General features: G+C 45.6%; 1 protein-coding gene across 10 annotated transcripts in view; it reads left to right on the plus strand.

Moving 5' to 3' along the window:
• Positions 1–16894, plus strand: part of ARMC9 (armadillo repeat containing 9) — a 178218-nt gene that overhangs the window by 143360 nt on the left and 17964 nt on the right. For 8 of the 10 annotated variants that reach the window (NR_148040.2, NM_001352755.2, NM_001352756.2 and 5 more), the window contains one exon: positions 2985–3212. Coding sequence is in view for 9 of the 10 variants with exons in the window: in NM_001352755.2 (NP_001339684.2) it covers positions 2985–3104 (120 nt within the window). In the remaining variant the exon portion in view is untranslated. Of the gene's footprint in view, positions 1–2984; positions 3213–13807; positions 13945–16894 lie in introns of those variants that run through there. The other 2 variants (NM_001271466.4, NM_001352754.2) reach the window with 1 other exon arrangement.

Raw genomic sequence — 16894 nt, forward strand, 5'->3', positions numbered from 1 at the left:
CCAAAGCATTTCTGCAGAACTCAGTATAAACAGCTCTGTCTCAGCAGGTTGTTGGACAAGATACCCTCTAAGATCCTTCAGCCCACAAAGGCTTCTTTGCAACTGAGGGGCCCGAGAGTAGGCTGGGTGGCTCACACTGCAAGCAAGGGGAGGGGAAGCCCAGGCCAGCAAGAACAGGCTGGGAAGCAGCTGCACTGCCAGGCCCTGCACACTGAAGCCGCTCCACTGAGGGCCTTTCTTCAGGCATTTTTGCAACAGACCAGGCAGTGCTGGCCCGCAGGCCAGACGCAGTTTCCCCATCCACTGGAGAGGAAAAATGCCACCCACTTTAAATTATTTTCCAGGTTTCTGTAGTTTAAGGAGATGAAATAACTGGCAGAGTCTAAAATATTCTCGAATACGTGACATGTTCTGTCATTTCCAGGAAGACATTGGGAGGAGCGAGCTCAGATGACCGCTGACAGTGGGGAAGTGGAGGCAGAGGACTAGTCACAGGCTCGAGAAAACCCGCATGTTGACTGTTTCCCCTTTTCCAGTTGCCTTCTTAGTGTTTCTCTGTGGGAGGGCTCAGGGGTCCTCTGGCATGAGGGACAGGAAAAAGAGAAGGCAGGAGTCACCCTGGAGCACCGTGATGAGAGCGTGTAAAGCCGACCCTAGATCCTCCTGGATCGGGGAAGTGGGGTGGAAGGGAAGTTACAGTGGAAGCAGACAGCAGTGTTAAGTGGTTGCAGTGAAAATATCCTGCCTTGGTAGATTTCTTTAGAGACAGAAAAGGCGACGCAACTGCATTTTAGTTTTTATTTACGTGGCTTAGTTACATTCCATTTCCCCCAAGAAGCTGGGTGCCTCCCACTTTCTCACTCTCCCAGGCTTTTTCCCTTTCACTCTTCTTTCCATCCCTCCCCACCTCCTAGTCAGGGCAGGGTTTTTTTGTTTTTGTTTTTGTTTGAGATGCTCTTGTTGCCCAGGCTGGAGTGCAATGGTGCCATCTCGGCTCACTGCAACCTCCACCTCCCTGGTTCAAGTGATTCTCCTGCCTCAGCCTCCTGAGTCACTGGGATTACAGGCATGCACCACCAGGCCTAGCTAATTTTGTATTTTTAGTAGAGATGGGATTTCTCCATGTTAGTCAGGCTGGTCTCGAACTCCCAACCTCAGGTGATCCACCCACCTTGGCTTCCCAAAGTGCTGGGATTACAGGTGTGAGCCACTGTACCCGGACCAGGGCAGGTTTTGACCCCACCTGTCACTTCCCTGGCTGAGAACTGTCCCAGGGTCCAGTGAGGCTCACTGAATCCCGTAGGCACTGGCCCTTTTTTTCTTCCTCTCCCTGCCTAAGATACTAGATAAACACAAAGGAATTTTCAGCAGAAATCAAAGATGAAATTCCAATGTTCAAGAAGTTTGGTTTTTTGTTTTTTATTTTATTTACTTTTTGTTTTGAAATAATTATAGATTGATAGGAAGTTGCAAAAGTAACACAGACAGTTCCCAGGCGCCCTTCACATAATTTCCCCTGGTGCTAATATCTTATGTAATTTATAGCATAATAATAGCAAAACCAGGAAGCTGACATTGGTATCATCCACAGACTTTATTCACATTTCACTAGTTTGACAGTGATTTCCTTTTTAAACAGTTTTTCTTAAGTATTAACATAATAGTAACCATATTACAAAAAATTGTGGCAGAAAAAAATATTCTTAGTTCTACTGTCCTGTAGAGCCACCCTAATCATGTTAAGGTTCATTTCTTTCCAAGGTCTTTTTGTGCACTTTTAGCACAATTGAAAGCATTGTTTAGCTGGACAGAGTGGCGTGCACTTGTAATCCCATCTACTGGGGAGGCTAAGGCAGGAAGATCACTCCACTGCACTCCAGCCTGGGCAACATGGCAAGACCTCGTCTCGAGGAAAAAAAAAAAAGCATTCTTTATGTACATTATTATAACCTGATTTTTATTTAATGTTTTAAATAAATATATTTCTGCATAACCTGTTCTTTATCATTGTACATGGCTATATGATATATATATCAAGTGAATATGCCATGTTTTACTTATTTACTCCCCTGTTACTAGACATTAGATCATTTCAGTTTTACTCTATAATAACTTTATAATGAACAACCTTGTTTATCTTACGCTTTCCATGTTTTGGATTCATTCACTAGTATTTACACTCAAGGATGTGTGAACATTTTTACAACTCTTGATAAAATGCCAAATTGTTTTCCAAGACTTGTCTCAAATTTCAATCTCTCTAATTAGTGTTAATCATTAAACTAGTGTTTTAAACTATTGGGAGCAGTGGACGGGATCGTTTTTCTGTCATTCTTATAATAGTTGAAGAATGCCACCTTGTTTTGTAAAGTTGTAGTTTCTAATTTCTAGTAAAGTTGGTCTTTTTTGTTTCTTCTACTTACTAGTAATACTTTCTATTTTGTGACATGGTGGTTTGAATTCTTTGCCCGATTATCAATTTAGTGTTTTACTTACTGATTTGTAGGAGCTCCTTAGCTATGAAAATGTTAACCTTTAATCTGTTAAATTTGCTTCAAATACTTCTTCCAAGTTTGTTGTTTGCCTGTTGATTTGGTTTATTTTTAACATACTGCGCATGTGGAAATGTTCGTATTTTTATGAAATCAAATGTCCATCTTTTTTTCCCTTCTCATTTTTACAAACCCAGTCCTTTTCAGAGATGTGATGAGTTCCAGTAGATCAACCGCTTTCTTCCTTTTCCTAGGGTTTGACTTTGTTTTAATTTATACTGCTAAATGGTGTGATACACAAACCGTTAGCAAAAAAAGGGTTTTTCCCCACAATTTCTGTTTACCTGAATAATTTGTGACATGATCCTTCCTCATTTATTTGCAAAGCTTCTTATCATTATAGAGTAGTTTATTCAGTGTATTCTGCTTGACTTCTAGGTCAGCTCTCTAATAGATATTTCTCCAGCCCTTTTTTCTCTTTCCTTCCACCAGATCATGACCAACACGGGGAAGACAAGGCGGAAGGGGCTGGCTAATGTGCAGTGGAGCGGGGATGAGCCCCTGCAAAGGCCCGTCACCCCCGGCGGCCACAGAAACGGGTACCCAGTGTAAGTCAGGGCTAAAGGAAGCGGGAATTGACTTTCTTAAGCTTTGTTTTGATTACAGTGTAAGATGTATGTATTTTTAAAATTCAAAATAAAGCATTCATTTTGAAAAGCATTTATCTCTTTATTTTTGGGGGATTTTTGGAGGGAAAGAGGTTGAGTCCTTCTCCCTTCCCCCAGGATTTTTTTATTCCAGAAGGAGAAGTGGTTGGATTACAGGATCTCCAGGGCCACTTCAGAAGACAAATGTTGGCCAGAGTAATTTCAAAAGAAGGGACCTGAAAGGAATCGGGCTCTCTCCAGAAGGACTCCTGTCGTGCCTTTTCTGTGGCCTCTCGTCACAGCACCAAGCCCTGTGTTGGGATTGGAATGTTACAGTTTAAGACTCGAAATCAATTTATTTTAGATGACTTTTTGGAACAACTGGATGCTGTTTTAGCTGCCGAGCCTTATTCATCTTCCATAGCCTTGCTCGTACCCCATTTATAGAAATGAAATTTTAGTCTCGTTACGTAGAGCCTCTGGTCTCCCTGGGGGCCTAGACCCCTTGTGGGCTAAGGAGCCCCAGATCAGACAGTCCAGTGGGCGGTAGAGAAGCCACTTCTGTGGTCTGGGTGGCCTCTCTTTTCCTGTCTAGAGAGAATATTACAGCAAAATATTACAGAGAGCAGGCTAAAAACCTCCATATATTCATTCAACAAATAATGGCCGTGTAATTTTTAAAAGAATATACCGTGTTTTACTTAGTTATCCCCTGAAACTGGGCACTTTATTTTTTCCAGTCTTACTCTATTGCAATTTTGTAATGAACAACCAGGCAACGGAATTGAGCAACAAAACTCAGAAATGCCTGCCCTCATGGAGCTCTGTGCTGCCACGGACACCAGGGACACCAGGCAAGACAGACCCAGCTCCTTGATGAGTTCTGTTGCCCATCTGGGATTTGTCCTATAAATGTTTCAGGGCCCGTGCCATAGATGAGTGCTCTGAGATCTGTTTGGTTTGATTTCATAATTAGGTATGATATGCTTATATTTCTAGGTGTTTATTTTTAGTTACTGATGTATAAACTAGTACATGCCCTTTTCTCTCTTAAACTTACAATCAGTGTTTTTAACCTACAGAAAAGTTAAAGAATATTACACTGAAGATGGCCAGGCGTGGTGGCTCACACCTGTAATCCCAGCAGTTCGGGAGGCTGAGGCAGGCAAATCACAAAGTCAGGAGATCGAGACCATCCTGGCTAACGTGGTGAAACCCCATCTCTACTAAAAATACAAAAAATTAGCCCAGCATGGTGGCGGGCACCTGTAGTCCCAGCTACTCGGGAGGCTGAGGCAGGAGAATGCCGTGAACCCAGGAGGCGGAGCTTGCAGTGAGCTGAGATCTCGCCACTAGCACTCAGCCTGGGCGATAGAGTGACACTCTATCTCAAAAAATATAAAAAAAGAATATTACACTCAAGAGCTTTCAATTAACATTTGTGTGCCCTATCTCTCTCTCTTGCTCTCCTTCTATGTGTATGATACATAATTTACATGCGTATACATTTTTTTGCTGAACTATCTGAGAGAAGATTGCAGACTTTTGCACATAACCCCACTATCACAGCTAAGAAATTTGACAGTAATAATATGGATATAGTATTATAGTATTCCTTAATTGTCCCCTAAAGGTTCTTTACATCTGAGTGGTTTTGGGTCATTTGGTTTTCATCCAGGAATACGGTCAGTTACCAATTACTAGTAAATCTAGTTGATAAATATAATACCTTTTTAAATGGAAGTAGCAACAGGAACTAATAAAATTCCTCTTGCTTGACATGGGAAAGAGGACACTGAATCATTGTCTTAAAAGTATTTTTCAATTATTTTTTAAAATAATTAAAACCCTGCTTTCATGAGAGGCAACAATGACATAAGGCTATTTTAATCAGAGATAAGGATAGGGAATCTAATAAATATGGGGCTAACCAGTGGGCACAGTTAATTCTTGGGTCAGGTGTTCTTCTTTGAAGAGAAATTTGAGGACGTTTTCCATGCCTGGGAGCACATCTATCTCCCCTCTGATATGTGGGGGTGGCCCCATCAAGATCTTTGACTGTGGCAAGCTGCCAGGTAATGAGGGCAGCTCATTTTCCTGAAACCATGGACCTTCCCACTATAATGATGCAGTCGCCCCGTCACCAGCTTCCCTTATCAGGTCTCAACAAACATTTTTATCACTTCTCTGCCATATGGTGTTCTCATTGCTGGGGTTGCAGAAATCAATAAGATGTGACTCCCTGCCCTCAGAAGCACACAGACCAAGCTGTGTGGTAGGGAAAGAGGTGGTCAATGGAATGCAGTGGGCACTCTCCCCAGCTACACTGGGTACTCCAGACGGGCTACACGATGCTGATGTGCAAAATTTGTAGTTCTGTCCTTTGCATCTCGAGCTCACCTCTACAAAGTTTGAATGCTGGGGGTCTTAGACATCATCCTCTACAGATAAGAGACTACCATATGTGATGTAAGATAGGCATCCTAGCTTATTTTTCTCCATGTAGAGAGCCACTCTTCTCTACACCACCTATAAACAGCTCATTATTTCTCCACTGATTCAAGGCGCCACTTTAATTCTATATCCCCTCCAGTCACCCTAGCTCTCTATTTTGACACATTGTCCAGTTGCCTGTTGCCACACCAGTGTTTATTGCAAAGGTTCTTAGCATATCTAAATATTGCATAGAAAAATCCTCTCTCCCTGCCTGCCTTTGGCTTTCTCTTTCAGAGTTGATTTAACTATGTAGAGACCTTTATTTTTCTGTAAGCATTTAAAAATAAGTCTGGCAACTTCCTTAAAAAATCCTTTTAGGATTTTGATTAGTATCACATTAAATTTATGTAATGTTTTGGAGATGATTGAAATCTTTGCAATGTTAAGTCACTGTGCAGCATTACATCATAGTAATTTTATATGTTAAGACAGAATAATGGTCCCTCAAAGATGTCCACATCCCAATCCCCACAACCTGTGACTAAATGACATTACATGGCAAAAAGGACTTTGCTGATGTGATTAAGTTAAGGATCTAGAGATGGATGATTCTGGATAATCTGGGTGGACCCAATGTAATCACAAGGGGCCTTACTGAAGGGAAGCAGGAGTGTCAGAAACAAAAGGAGGTGTGACAACTGTGTCAGAAGTCTGAGTGACGCAAGGCCATGAGCCGAGGAATGCAGACACCCTCTAGAAACTGGAAAAGGCAAGGAAATAAATTCTCTCCTGGAGCCTCCAGAAAGAATGCACCCCTGTTGACCCATTGTAAACTCTTGACCTCCATAATTATGAGACAAGTTTGTGTTGTTTTCAGTCACTAAGTTTGTGGTAAGACTGCAAATTATGAAACAACTACAGGAAAACATTGGGGAATGTCTCCAGGACATTGTTCTGGGCAAATATTTCTTGAGTAATACCTGACAAGCACAGGCAACCAAAGCAAAAATGAACAAATGGGATCACATCAAGTTAAAAAGCTTCTATAGCAAAGGAAACAATCAACAAAGTGAAGAGACAGCCCACAGAATGGGAGAAAATATTTGCAAACTACCCATCTGACAAAGGATTAATAATCAGAATTAAAAAGGAGCTCAAACAACTCTATAGGAAAAAGTCTAATAGTTGGATTTAAAAAATGGGCAAAAGATTTGAATAGACATTTCTCAAAAGAAGACACACAGATGACAAACAGGCTTATGAAAGGGTGCTCAGCATCATTGATCATCAGAGATGCAAATCAACACTACACTGAGATACCCTCTCACCCCCGTTAAAACGGCTTATCTCCAAAAGTCAGGCAATAACAAATGCTGGCAAGGATGTGGAGAAAAGGGAACCCTCATACACTGTTGGTGAGAATGTAAATTAGTACAGCCACTATGGAGAACAGTTTGGAGATTCCTCAAAGAACTAAAAATAGAGCTACCACATGATCCAGCAGTCCCGCTGCTGGGTATATACCCAACAGAAAGGAAGTCCATGTGTCAAAGATAGCTCTGCACCCCATGCTTGCTGCAGCACCGTTCACAGGGGCCAAGATTTGGAAGTAGCCTCAGTGTCCATCAGCAGATGAATGGACAAAGAAAATGTGGTACATATACACAATGGAGTACTATTCAGTGCAAAAGAATGAGATCCAGTCATTTGCAAAACATGGATGGAACTGGAGATCATTATGCTACATGAAATAAGCCAGGCACAGAAAGTCAAACATCACACGTTCCCACTTACTTAAACAATCTAAACAATTGAGCTCATGGAGATAGAGAGTAGAAGGATGGTTACTAGAGACCGGGAAGGGTGGTTGGTTGGGGGTGGTGGCTAGGGGAGTTGGAGAAGGTTAATGGTGCCAAAAAAACACATAAAGAATGGGCCAGGCGTGGTGGCTCATGCCTGTAATCTCAACACTTTGGGAGGCCGAGGCGGGTAGATCACTTAAGGTCAGGAGTTCGAGACCAACCTGGCCAACGTGGTAAAACCCTGTCTCTACTAAAAATACAAAAATTAACCAGGTGCGGTAGCGAGTGCCTGTAATCCAGCTCCTCGGGAGGCTGAGGCAGGAGAATCACTTGAACCTGGGAGACGGAGGTTGCAGTGAGCTGAGATCACACCACTGCAATCCAGCCTAGGTAACAGAGTGAGACCCCCAACTTAAAACAAAAATGAGTAAGACCTAGTATTTGATAGCACAACAGAGTGACTATAGTCAATAATAATTTAATTGTACATTTTAAAATAACTAAAAGAGTATGATTGGAATTTTTTTTACACACAGGATGAATACTTGAGGGGATGAGTACTCCATTCTCCATGATGTGATTCTTACACATTGCATGCCTGTATCAAAACAATTCACATATACTATACATATATACACCTACTGTACCCACAAACATCTAAAAAAAAAAAAAAAATTGAGGGGAAGTCTTGCTCTGTTGCCCAGGCTGGAGTGCAGTGGCACAGTCTTGGCAACTGCAAGCTCCGCCTCCCAGGTTCAAGCGATTCTCCTGCCTCAGCCTCCCAAGTAGCTGGGATTACAGGCACCCGCCACCACACCTGGCTAATTTTTAAATTTTTTGTAGAGAAGGGATTTCACCATGTTGGCCAGGCTGGTCTTGAACTCCTTACCTCAGGCGATCTGCCTGCCTCAGCCTCCCAAAATGCTGGGATTACAGGTGTGAGCCACTGTGCCTGGCCTTAAAAGTTGAAAATTAAAACAAAAATATTACGGTACTTTGTTAGAACAGCAGTAGAAAATGAAGACAGCCATCCTGTGTGCAAGTACAGGATGACTCTCCAGTCCTTTAGGTCTTGTTTGATACATTTCCTTGCTAGGAGAAACCTGAGGCCAGGCATGGTGGCTCACACCTGCAATCCTAGCACTTTGGGAGGTTGAGGCAGGAGCATTGCTTCAGTCCCAGAGGTCGTGGCTGCAGTGAGCTGTGATTGTGCCACTGCTCTCCAGCCTGGGCAACAAAGTGAGACCCTTGTCTCAAAAAAAAAAAAAGAAAAAGAAAAAGAAACTTCATATGTTCAAGGCAATGGTGGGCATGTTCTTGAGGGAAGGTCAGGACCCTTCTCAGCCCTGGAGGTTGGATTTGATTAATTTAGCCCAGTTTTTTAAATTTAACTCCTCTTGTCAATGATGATCTCAATGGGCATGCAATCCATTCCAGCCATGGGATCTAAGATTTTCCAACTTTTATGAAGGGCTTGAGAAACTCTGTACTTTCTTTTCCCCTTTTGGGCTTTGACTGTTGCTTGAGATGCTATGCTTGGAGGTCCTGCAGCCATCCTATTTGCACAAAGTGACAATTCTTTTTTTTTTTTTTTTTTTTTTTTTTTTTTGAGACAGAGTCTCGCTCTGTCAGCCAGGCTGGAGTGCAGTGGCACGATCTCGGCTCACTGCAAGCTCCATCTCCCAGTTCACGCCATTCTCCTGCCTCAGCTTCCCGAGTAGTTGGGACTACAGGCGCCTACCACCACGCCCGGCTATTTTTTTGTATTTTTAGTAGAGACGGGGTTTCACTGTGTTAGGATGGTCTCGATCTCCTGACCTCGTGATCCGCCTGTCTCGGCCTCCCAAAGTGCTGGGATTACAGGTGTGAGCCACTGCACCCGGCCACAAAGTGACAATTCTAAGAACAAAAGCAAAACCACACCAGGAAGGCCAGGGAATCCCAGCAGAGAGAACCTGGATCTGCAGCAAAGTCACTCAGCTTCGCATTCCCCACCCTGTACTCGCTCCCTCTGGAATTCTGTTTATGTTGAATATTACATTTCCCTTACCGTTTAAACCAGTGGTGTTGAACTTTTGTTACTTGTAGTCCAAAACATGTATGGAACAAGTAAATATAAAGAAAATAAAAATTATTTATTCCAGCAGCCAGAGAGAATTATGATCATCATTTTAGTGTATTACATTTAGTATAGTTTTTTCCTACATATATTTTTAGCAAATGAGAAACCTTTTAGTGTTTGTGTATGTGTCTACATATATATATGGTTTGTTTGCAGTTTGATTTTTGTTTGTTTTCTTTTGCATTGTTGAACATCCTGTAAAAGATGATTTAATGATTTATATTATATTTACATACCATAATTTATATAGCCATGCTGCCATTTCTGACATTCGTTTTTACTGATTTGGAGTTATTATATGCTTGGTGAACCAGTAAGTACATAAATATTCGTAACTAAAACAAAAAAAAATTATGACCCTCCCTTCACCACCAGCACCCTCTGGTATCCTGTTGCCAGGAGTGTGGATACATCTAGAATCTTAGTCCTCTTGAGGACACAATGACAGTATGTATTGCACACATTCAGAATACCAGGACTTTTTTGGTTTTGTTTTAAGACAGCATCTCGCTCTGTCACCCCGGCTGGAGTATAGCGGCACAATCACAGCTCACTGCAGCTTGACCTCCTGGGCTCAAACCATCCTCCCACCTCAGCCTCCCAAGCAGCTGGGACCACAGGCATGCGCCACCACATCTGGCTGAATTTTTAATTTTTTGTAGAGATAGGGTCTCACTATGTTGCCTAGTCTTGAACTCCTGAGTTCAAGCAATCCTCCTACCTCAGCCTTCCAAAGTGCTGGGATTACAGGTGTGAGCCACTATGCCCAGCCCAGCCACTAGTACTTTTGGAGCCAGTAATTCCACTGCTAGGATTTTTTTTTTTAACAGTCTTGCTCTGTCGCCCAGGCTGGAGTGCAATGGTACGATCTCAGCTTCTTGCAACCTCGGTCTCCTGGGTTCAAGCGATTCTCCTTTCTCCTGTCTCAGCCTCCCAAGTAGCTGGGATTACAGGCGCCTGCCACCACGCCCAGCTAATTTTATTTTATTTTATTTTTTTATTTATTTATTTTTTAGTAGAGACGGGTTTTCACCATGTTGGCCAGGCTGATCTGGGACTCCTGACCTCAAGTGATCCGCCCGCCTTGGCTTCCCAAAGTGCTGGGATTACAGGCGTGAGCCACCGCACCCACTGCTAGGATTTTATACTGAGAAATAATCAGATGTTCACAGGATAGATAGATAGATAGATAGATAGATAGATAGATAGATAGATAGATGATAGGTAGGTAGATAGATGGATAGAAGATAGGTAGGTAGGTAGGTAGACATAGATATAGATAAATAGATAACCATATATACACACAAAAGGTTATTTGTTGCAATATTATTCATAAAATTAGAAATTACATTCCCAGGCCGGGCGCGGGGGCTCACACCAGCCTGGGCCAAGATGGTGAATCCCCGTCTCTACTAAAAATACAAAAATTTGGCCGGGCGCCATGGCTCACGCCTGTAATCCCAGCACTTTGGGAGGCCAAGATGGGCAGATCACAAGGTCAAGAGACCTTTAAATTTAACTCCTCTTGTCAATGATGATCTCAATGGGCATGCAATCCATTCCAGCCATGGGATCTAAGATTTTCCAACTTTTATGAAGGGCTTGAGAAACTCTGTACTTTCTTTTCCCCTTTTGGGCTTTGACTGTTGCTTGAGATGCTATGCTTGGAGGTCCTGCAGCCATCCTATTTGCACAAAGTGACAATTCTTTTTTTTTGAGACAGAGTCTCGCTCTGTCAGCCAGGCTGGAGTGCAGTGGCACGATCTCGGCTCACTGCAAGCTCCATCTCCCAGTTCACGCCATTCTCCTGCCTCAGCTTCCCGAGTAGTTGGGACTACAGGCGCCTACCACCACGCCCGGCTATTTTTTTGTATTTTTAGTAGAGACGGGGTTTCACTGTGTTAGGATGGTCTCGATCTCCTGACCTCGTGATCCGCCTGTCTCGGCCTCCCAAAGTGCTGGGATTACAGGTGTGAGCCACTGCACCCGGCCACAAAGTGACAATTCTAAGAACAAAAGCAAAACCACACCAGGAAGGCCAGGGAATCCCAGCAGAGAGAACCTGGATCTGCAGCAAAGTCCCCTGCTTCAGGGCATGGCATGAGTGCCCGCAAACAGCCAAGCCAGAGTCCAGCAGGTTTGCACACTCCTCCCACCCCGTCCTGCCCACCACTGGCCTTCACGGCTCAGGGAGTTCCTCCTAACAGTGTTCCCTGCCACCGGCCACCTTCCACGACTGTGGATGGAATGATGTTTCTAGCAGGGAATGTCATTCCTTTGGTTCTCCATTACTTGGGGATCAAGTTTAAATCCAGGCCTTACAGACTGCTTCTCAATTGACACCCCTGCCACAAGCATCAGAGCCCCCCAGGACACCCTGCCCCCTCCACACTACTGTCGCACAGGTCTTTTCAGGAGAGGGAGGTAGGGGACATCCATATTTTGTGATGTTTTAAATCTTTCTGTAACAATGCAGCATATATGTATATATACACACACACACACACACACACACACACACACACACCATATATAGATATATAGATTTTTTTCCCCTCTTCACCTTGCTCATGGTGTTACTTCTGCTGGAAAACCTTCCCTCTTCTGGCACCTGGCAGAACTGAGTTCAAAACTCAGAAAAGAGTTCAAAACTGAGTTGGCTAGGAGTGTGGTGGCTCACGCCTGTAATCCTAGGACTTTGGGAGGCCAAGGTGGTAGGATCACTTGAGCTCAGTTCAAAACCAGCCAAGTCAACACAGACCTCATCTCCATTTAAAAAAAAAAAAAAAAAAAAAAAGACTGATTGCGCACCTCGGGAAGACTTTCCTGCCCCCCTCAGGCTGGTTACATGTCTCCTTATCTTTGACTTTGGGTTGAGCCATGTGAATTTTTTTTTTTTTTTTTTTTTTTGAGACAGAGTCTCACTCTGTTGCCCAGGCTGGAGTGCAATGGCGCAATCTTGGCTCACTACAACCTCCGCCTCCCTGGCTCAAGCGATTCTCCTGCCTCAGCCTCTTGAGTAGCTGGGACTACAGGCATACATCACCACGTCCCACTAATTTTTATATTTTTAGTAGAGACGGGGTTTCACCATGTTGGCCAAGCTGGTCTCAAACTCCTGACCTCAAGTGATCTGCCCGCCTTGGCCTCCCAAAGTGCTGGGATTACAGGCATGAGCCACCACGCCTAGCCAGACATATGAAATTGACATTCAAAAACAACCATTTGCAGGGTCCAGCCCTAGGCAGGCATGAGCTTGTCGTGTGTTCCCCACTGAGCCCTTGTTGGATTAGGTGGCCCATATCTCCTTGTTGAAGGGGGAGCGAGGGCTCCGTTGCCTTACAGATAACTGGAGGGCCTTCCTCGGGGATCTGTGGTCAAGGTTGACCCAATGAGGCTGTCCCAGCCAGCTGGCCCTTGCAACTGGCTGGATCTGGTGCAATGAAGCTCTCAGCACTTGTCTGCTGGGCGAAGGTGTCTCCCCCAGCTTGGGTGCCAACATTAGGCACTGCAAAGGAGCTGTTCTGCACACATCCTTTAGGTAGTGTTACAAGAAAGTAAGTTCTAGGCCAGTCACAGTGGCTCACACCTGTAATCCCAGCACTTTGGGAGGCCAAGGTGAGAGGATTGCTTGAGCCCAGGAGTTCGAGACCAGTCCTAGCAACATGGAGAGACCTTGTCTCTACAAAAAATAAAAAAATCAGTTGAGTGTGGAGGCGCCCATCTGTAGTCCCAGCTACTCCAGAGGCTGAGATGGGAGGATCACTTGAGCCTGGGAGGTCAAGGCTACAAGTGAGCTGTGGTTGCACCATGGCACTCCAGCCTGGGCGACAGAGTGAGACCCTGTCTCTAAGAAAAAAAGAAGAAAGTTCTGCAGTCTCGTTCTTGGCCAACACTTGCCACGGCTGACATGACATGTTATGTCTTCTCTGGTTGGATTCATCCCTTCATTCATCTGCTTCATCCTTGGAGAAACCAGCAGATCCGTGCCTTACGTTGTTTGCTTGAAATGTCATGGTCCCATGTCACCCAGGGTCGTAACACGTAATTGTGTGTTAGGAATACACCACGCCATGTATCACTGTGAATACAGAAGGGGGCTAACAGGAACAAGGGGAGGCTACTGCCTCACAGGGTCAGCCTCCTGGCTCCTGCCAAGACCCTTTAGAAGGTCTGATATGCTAATGATGGTTTAACAAGACTTTGAGGCACCGCCCCCTCCTGTATTTGTGATGCTGCAGTCGGCAGTCGGCAGTCCGAATCTCCTGGCTGGCTGTACTCACTGCCGTTTTTCATGTTTTTCTCCAGGGTGGAAGACCAACACACACCTCCCCAGACAGCCCAGCACGCCAGAAACGGCCACCCGCAGGCCCTGCCAGCCGCTCACGAGGCTGTCTACAGGGAGGGCAAGCCCAGCACCCCGGAGTCCTGCGTCTCCTCTTCATGTAAGAATGTGGGCAGCACACTGGGTCAGTTCTGGGATTGTGATGTCTAGAACCTACGCAAAACAGCAGCAGGAGTGGCAGACGCACGTCTGCTCCTGGGAAGCCCTCTGGTCTCAGCAACAGCCCCGTGTCACAGAGGCTCACGGGATTCCCAGCCCACAGCCAGACCCATGCTGGGCTGGTCCTCTGCGTCCCCTTCTCAGAGCACTGCCTGTTGTCCCGTCTGGGAGCTCCTGGGGCAAGATTTCTGACTGGTGAAAGCCGGCTTTAATGTGAAATTTCGGAGGAGGAATGCCGGGCTGATGTTGATCTGTGACCCTGATTCTGATAGCTCAGATTCTGGTGCAGAGAAGGCCAGCCGCCTGCTGGAAGGCTGGACGGAGGCAGAAATGTGCAACTAAGAGCACAAACAACTCTGGGATCCAAACGCCTTTGAAACTTCCAGCTGAGTTAACCAGAGGCTGATGGGAGATAAAAGTATTTTTTAGATGCCAGAAAAAATATATATACTTTGAATCAGAAATGTACAAAGTATTTTTTTTAATTTTTGAAAGGAAATTAAAAGGATTATGAGCAGTTCAGATAAGACTCTAATTTCCATTTGAGTAGGAAAAACAACAGAGGAACGGGTTGGATTCCTGTCTGAGAAACATCTGAGAACTTGCATCTGCTCACAATTGGATTCAGACGCTTCCAGGCCCAGGTGCAGAGCGGTAGCTAGTGACGAGTCAGCACTGGCTGGGTTATTTGCAACTCCTGGGTCTCTTGGTGATGAGCAGTTTCAGAGGTTTTGCCAGCGTTGATCATCAGTTATTTTACATGTGCTTTACTAAAGCTGTAAATATTAATATGCTCTCCAAAGGTGAGCAGCTTAGTAATTTATCCAGAGATTTCTGCTGCCAGGGTGGAGGTCTTAGGGGGCGTCTGAAAAGTTTTGCCAATTTGACTGAATGCCATTGAGTTAAAACATTTCAAGTTCTTAGGCCTGGACTTCCTGAAAGGCTCCACAGTACATTCAGGGTAACGTAGCGGTAACATCCTTGCTTTACCAAAATGACCACTGAGAGGCCCTTTATTTTTGCACTGATTGGACGTGCCTTTGGGAAGCTGTCATGCTGTTACCTGCAGGGCGGAGGCACTTGAGGTTGGCATGGATGGAAATGGCCAAGGAGCAGCTGCTGCAATGTTGATGTTATTGTTGTTTTCAAGAACAGTTTACTTTAGCCCTGACAAAGTCTGGGCCCAGGCACATTCCGGGTTCTTGCATGAACAGGGTGGGCACCCACCAGGACACTCAGCCTTGGTGGTCACGGGCGGTTGCCAGTGCTTCTTCCTAGGGAGGCAGCAGCTGCCCACCAGCCCCCAGATGGACCGGCTGGAGGCAGAGCAGTGCTTTTCCCAAATCCCGCTGTCAGTGCCCCCATTAACCTGCCCCAAATGCTGAGACCGTGTTCTGAGTGTCCCTTCCTTAAGCCTGCTCCTATTGGCTCAGCCTGGCTGGGACCCAGGACACGGACCCACGCAGCCCTGCCCTTCTCCACCTGCCAGAGACCAGGAATAGTCACTGCCCTCCCTGGCCCTGCCAGGCCCGCTCTGAGCCTCAGGCCAACACCCCTAGTCCTCCTTTTATTTTATTTTATTTTACTTTATTTTATTTTATTTTGAGACAAGGTCTCACTCTGTCCCCCAGGCTGGAGTGCAGTGGCCAGTCATAGCTCACTGCAGCCTCACATTCCTAAGCGATCCTCCCGCATCAGCTTCCTGAGTAGCTGGCACTACAGATGCACCACCATACCAGGCAAAGTGGTTTTCTATTTTTTGTAAAGACGAAGTTTGCTGTTGCCTAGGCTGGTCTTGAACTCCTAGTCTCAAGTAATCCTCCTGCCTGAGCCTCCCAAAGCACTGGGATTACAGGCGTGAGCCATCATGCCTGGCCCTCTTAGTCTCCTTTAAAATCCTTTTACTTGACAAAAAGTTCTTCCTTTGGAAAAACCAAGCCCCAGGTGCAGTTTCCTCTGGGTCATGAGTAAGCCTTTGCCACGCTTGGAGTAGATTCCATTCTGACCTTCTTTCAGACAGGCCTGCCCACGGCCTGTTGCGTCTCCCCAGTTGGCCTCCCTGCCCCTCTCCCTGTCCTGTCACCTGCCTCTGCCTAAGGGATGGATGGCAAACAGCCCTCTGCTTCTGTGCTCCATCTGGGCTTTGCAGATAGGGGGACTGCGGTTAAGTCCATTAAGCCAGGGTATGAATGAGGGGGAGGGGGATGAGCAGCAGGGACAGCAGGGAGTGGGCAGTGCTGGGCTGGGCATGGGCACCCCTGAGCCATGTTGCCTTCTGCTTCATTCCTTCCCTGCTCAGGAGCTTGCTCTGACTTCCTCCAGACAGTCCTGCTTCTCCATCCCTCCCCTCCACTTCAATTGATTGATTGATTGATTGATTGATTGATTGTAGAGAGAGGTGTCTCTCTGTGCTGCCCAGGCTGGTCTTGAACCCTTGGGCTCAAGCGATCCTCCCGCCTCGGCCTCCCAAAGTGCTGGGATTACAGGCATGGGGCCCCCTCCACTTCCCTTCTCTCACTCACCTTGCCCCAGGCCCATCCTGGCCCCAGGCAGCGCTCCCCACAGGTCTCCTTGCACACAGCTCGCTGCTGAGTCTGGCCTGTGCTGGGAACTAACGCCCCACCCAGAGACCCCGTGGAAACCCCCACCTTCACGCTGAGTTTCTTGAGGAAGAGCCTTTGCGCTTTGCGTTCAGTCAGCACCGCAGGGAAAACTCATGAGGAGGAACCTGTTGGACCCTCAAACTGCTTGATCGGTTGAGTGCAGGCCCAGAAAGTACATTCTAGGCAAAAGACAGCCCCAAATGCCAACAGGAAATAGTTCCCAAGGGAAAAGGCCAATAATATGGCTTAGCATTTTGCAGAACGTTGGCCTAAGGAAAGCTATTCTCA

This window comes from Homo sapiens, chromosome 2, assembly GCF_000001405.40.
Source record: "Homo sapiens chromosome 2, GRCh38.p14 Primary Assembly".
Lineage (NCBI taxonomy): Eukaryota > Metazoa > Chordata > Mammalia > Primates > Hominidae > Homo > Homo sapiens.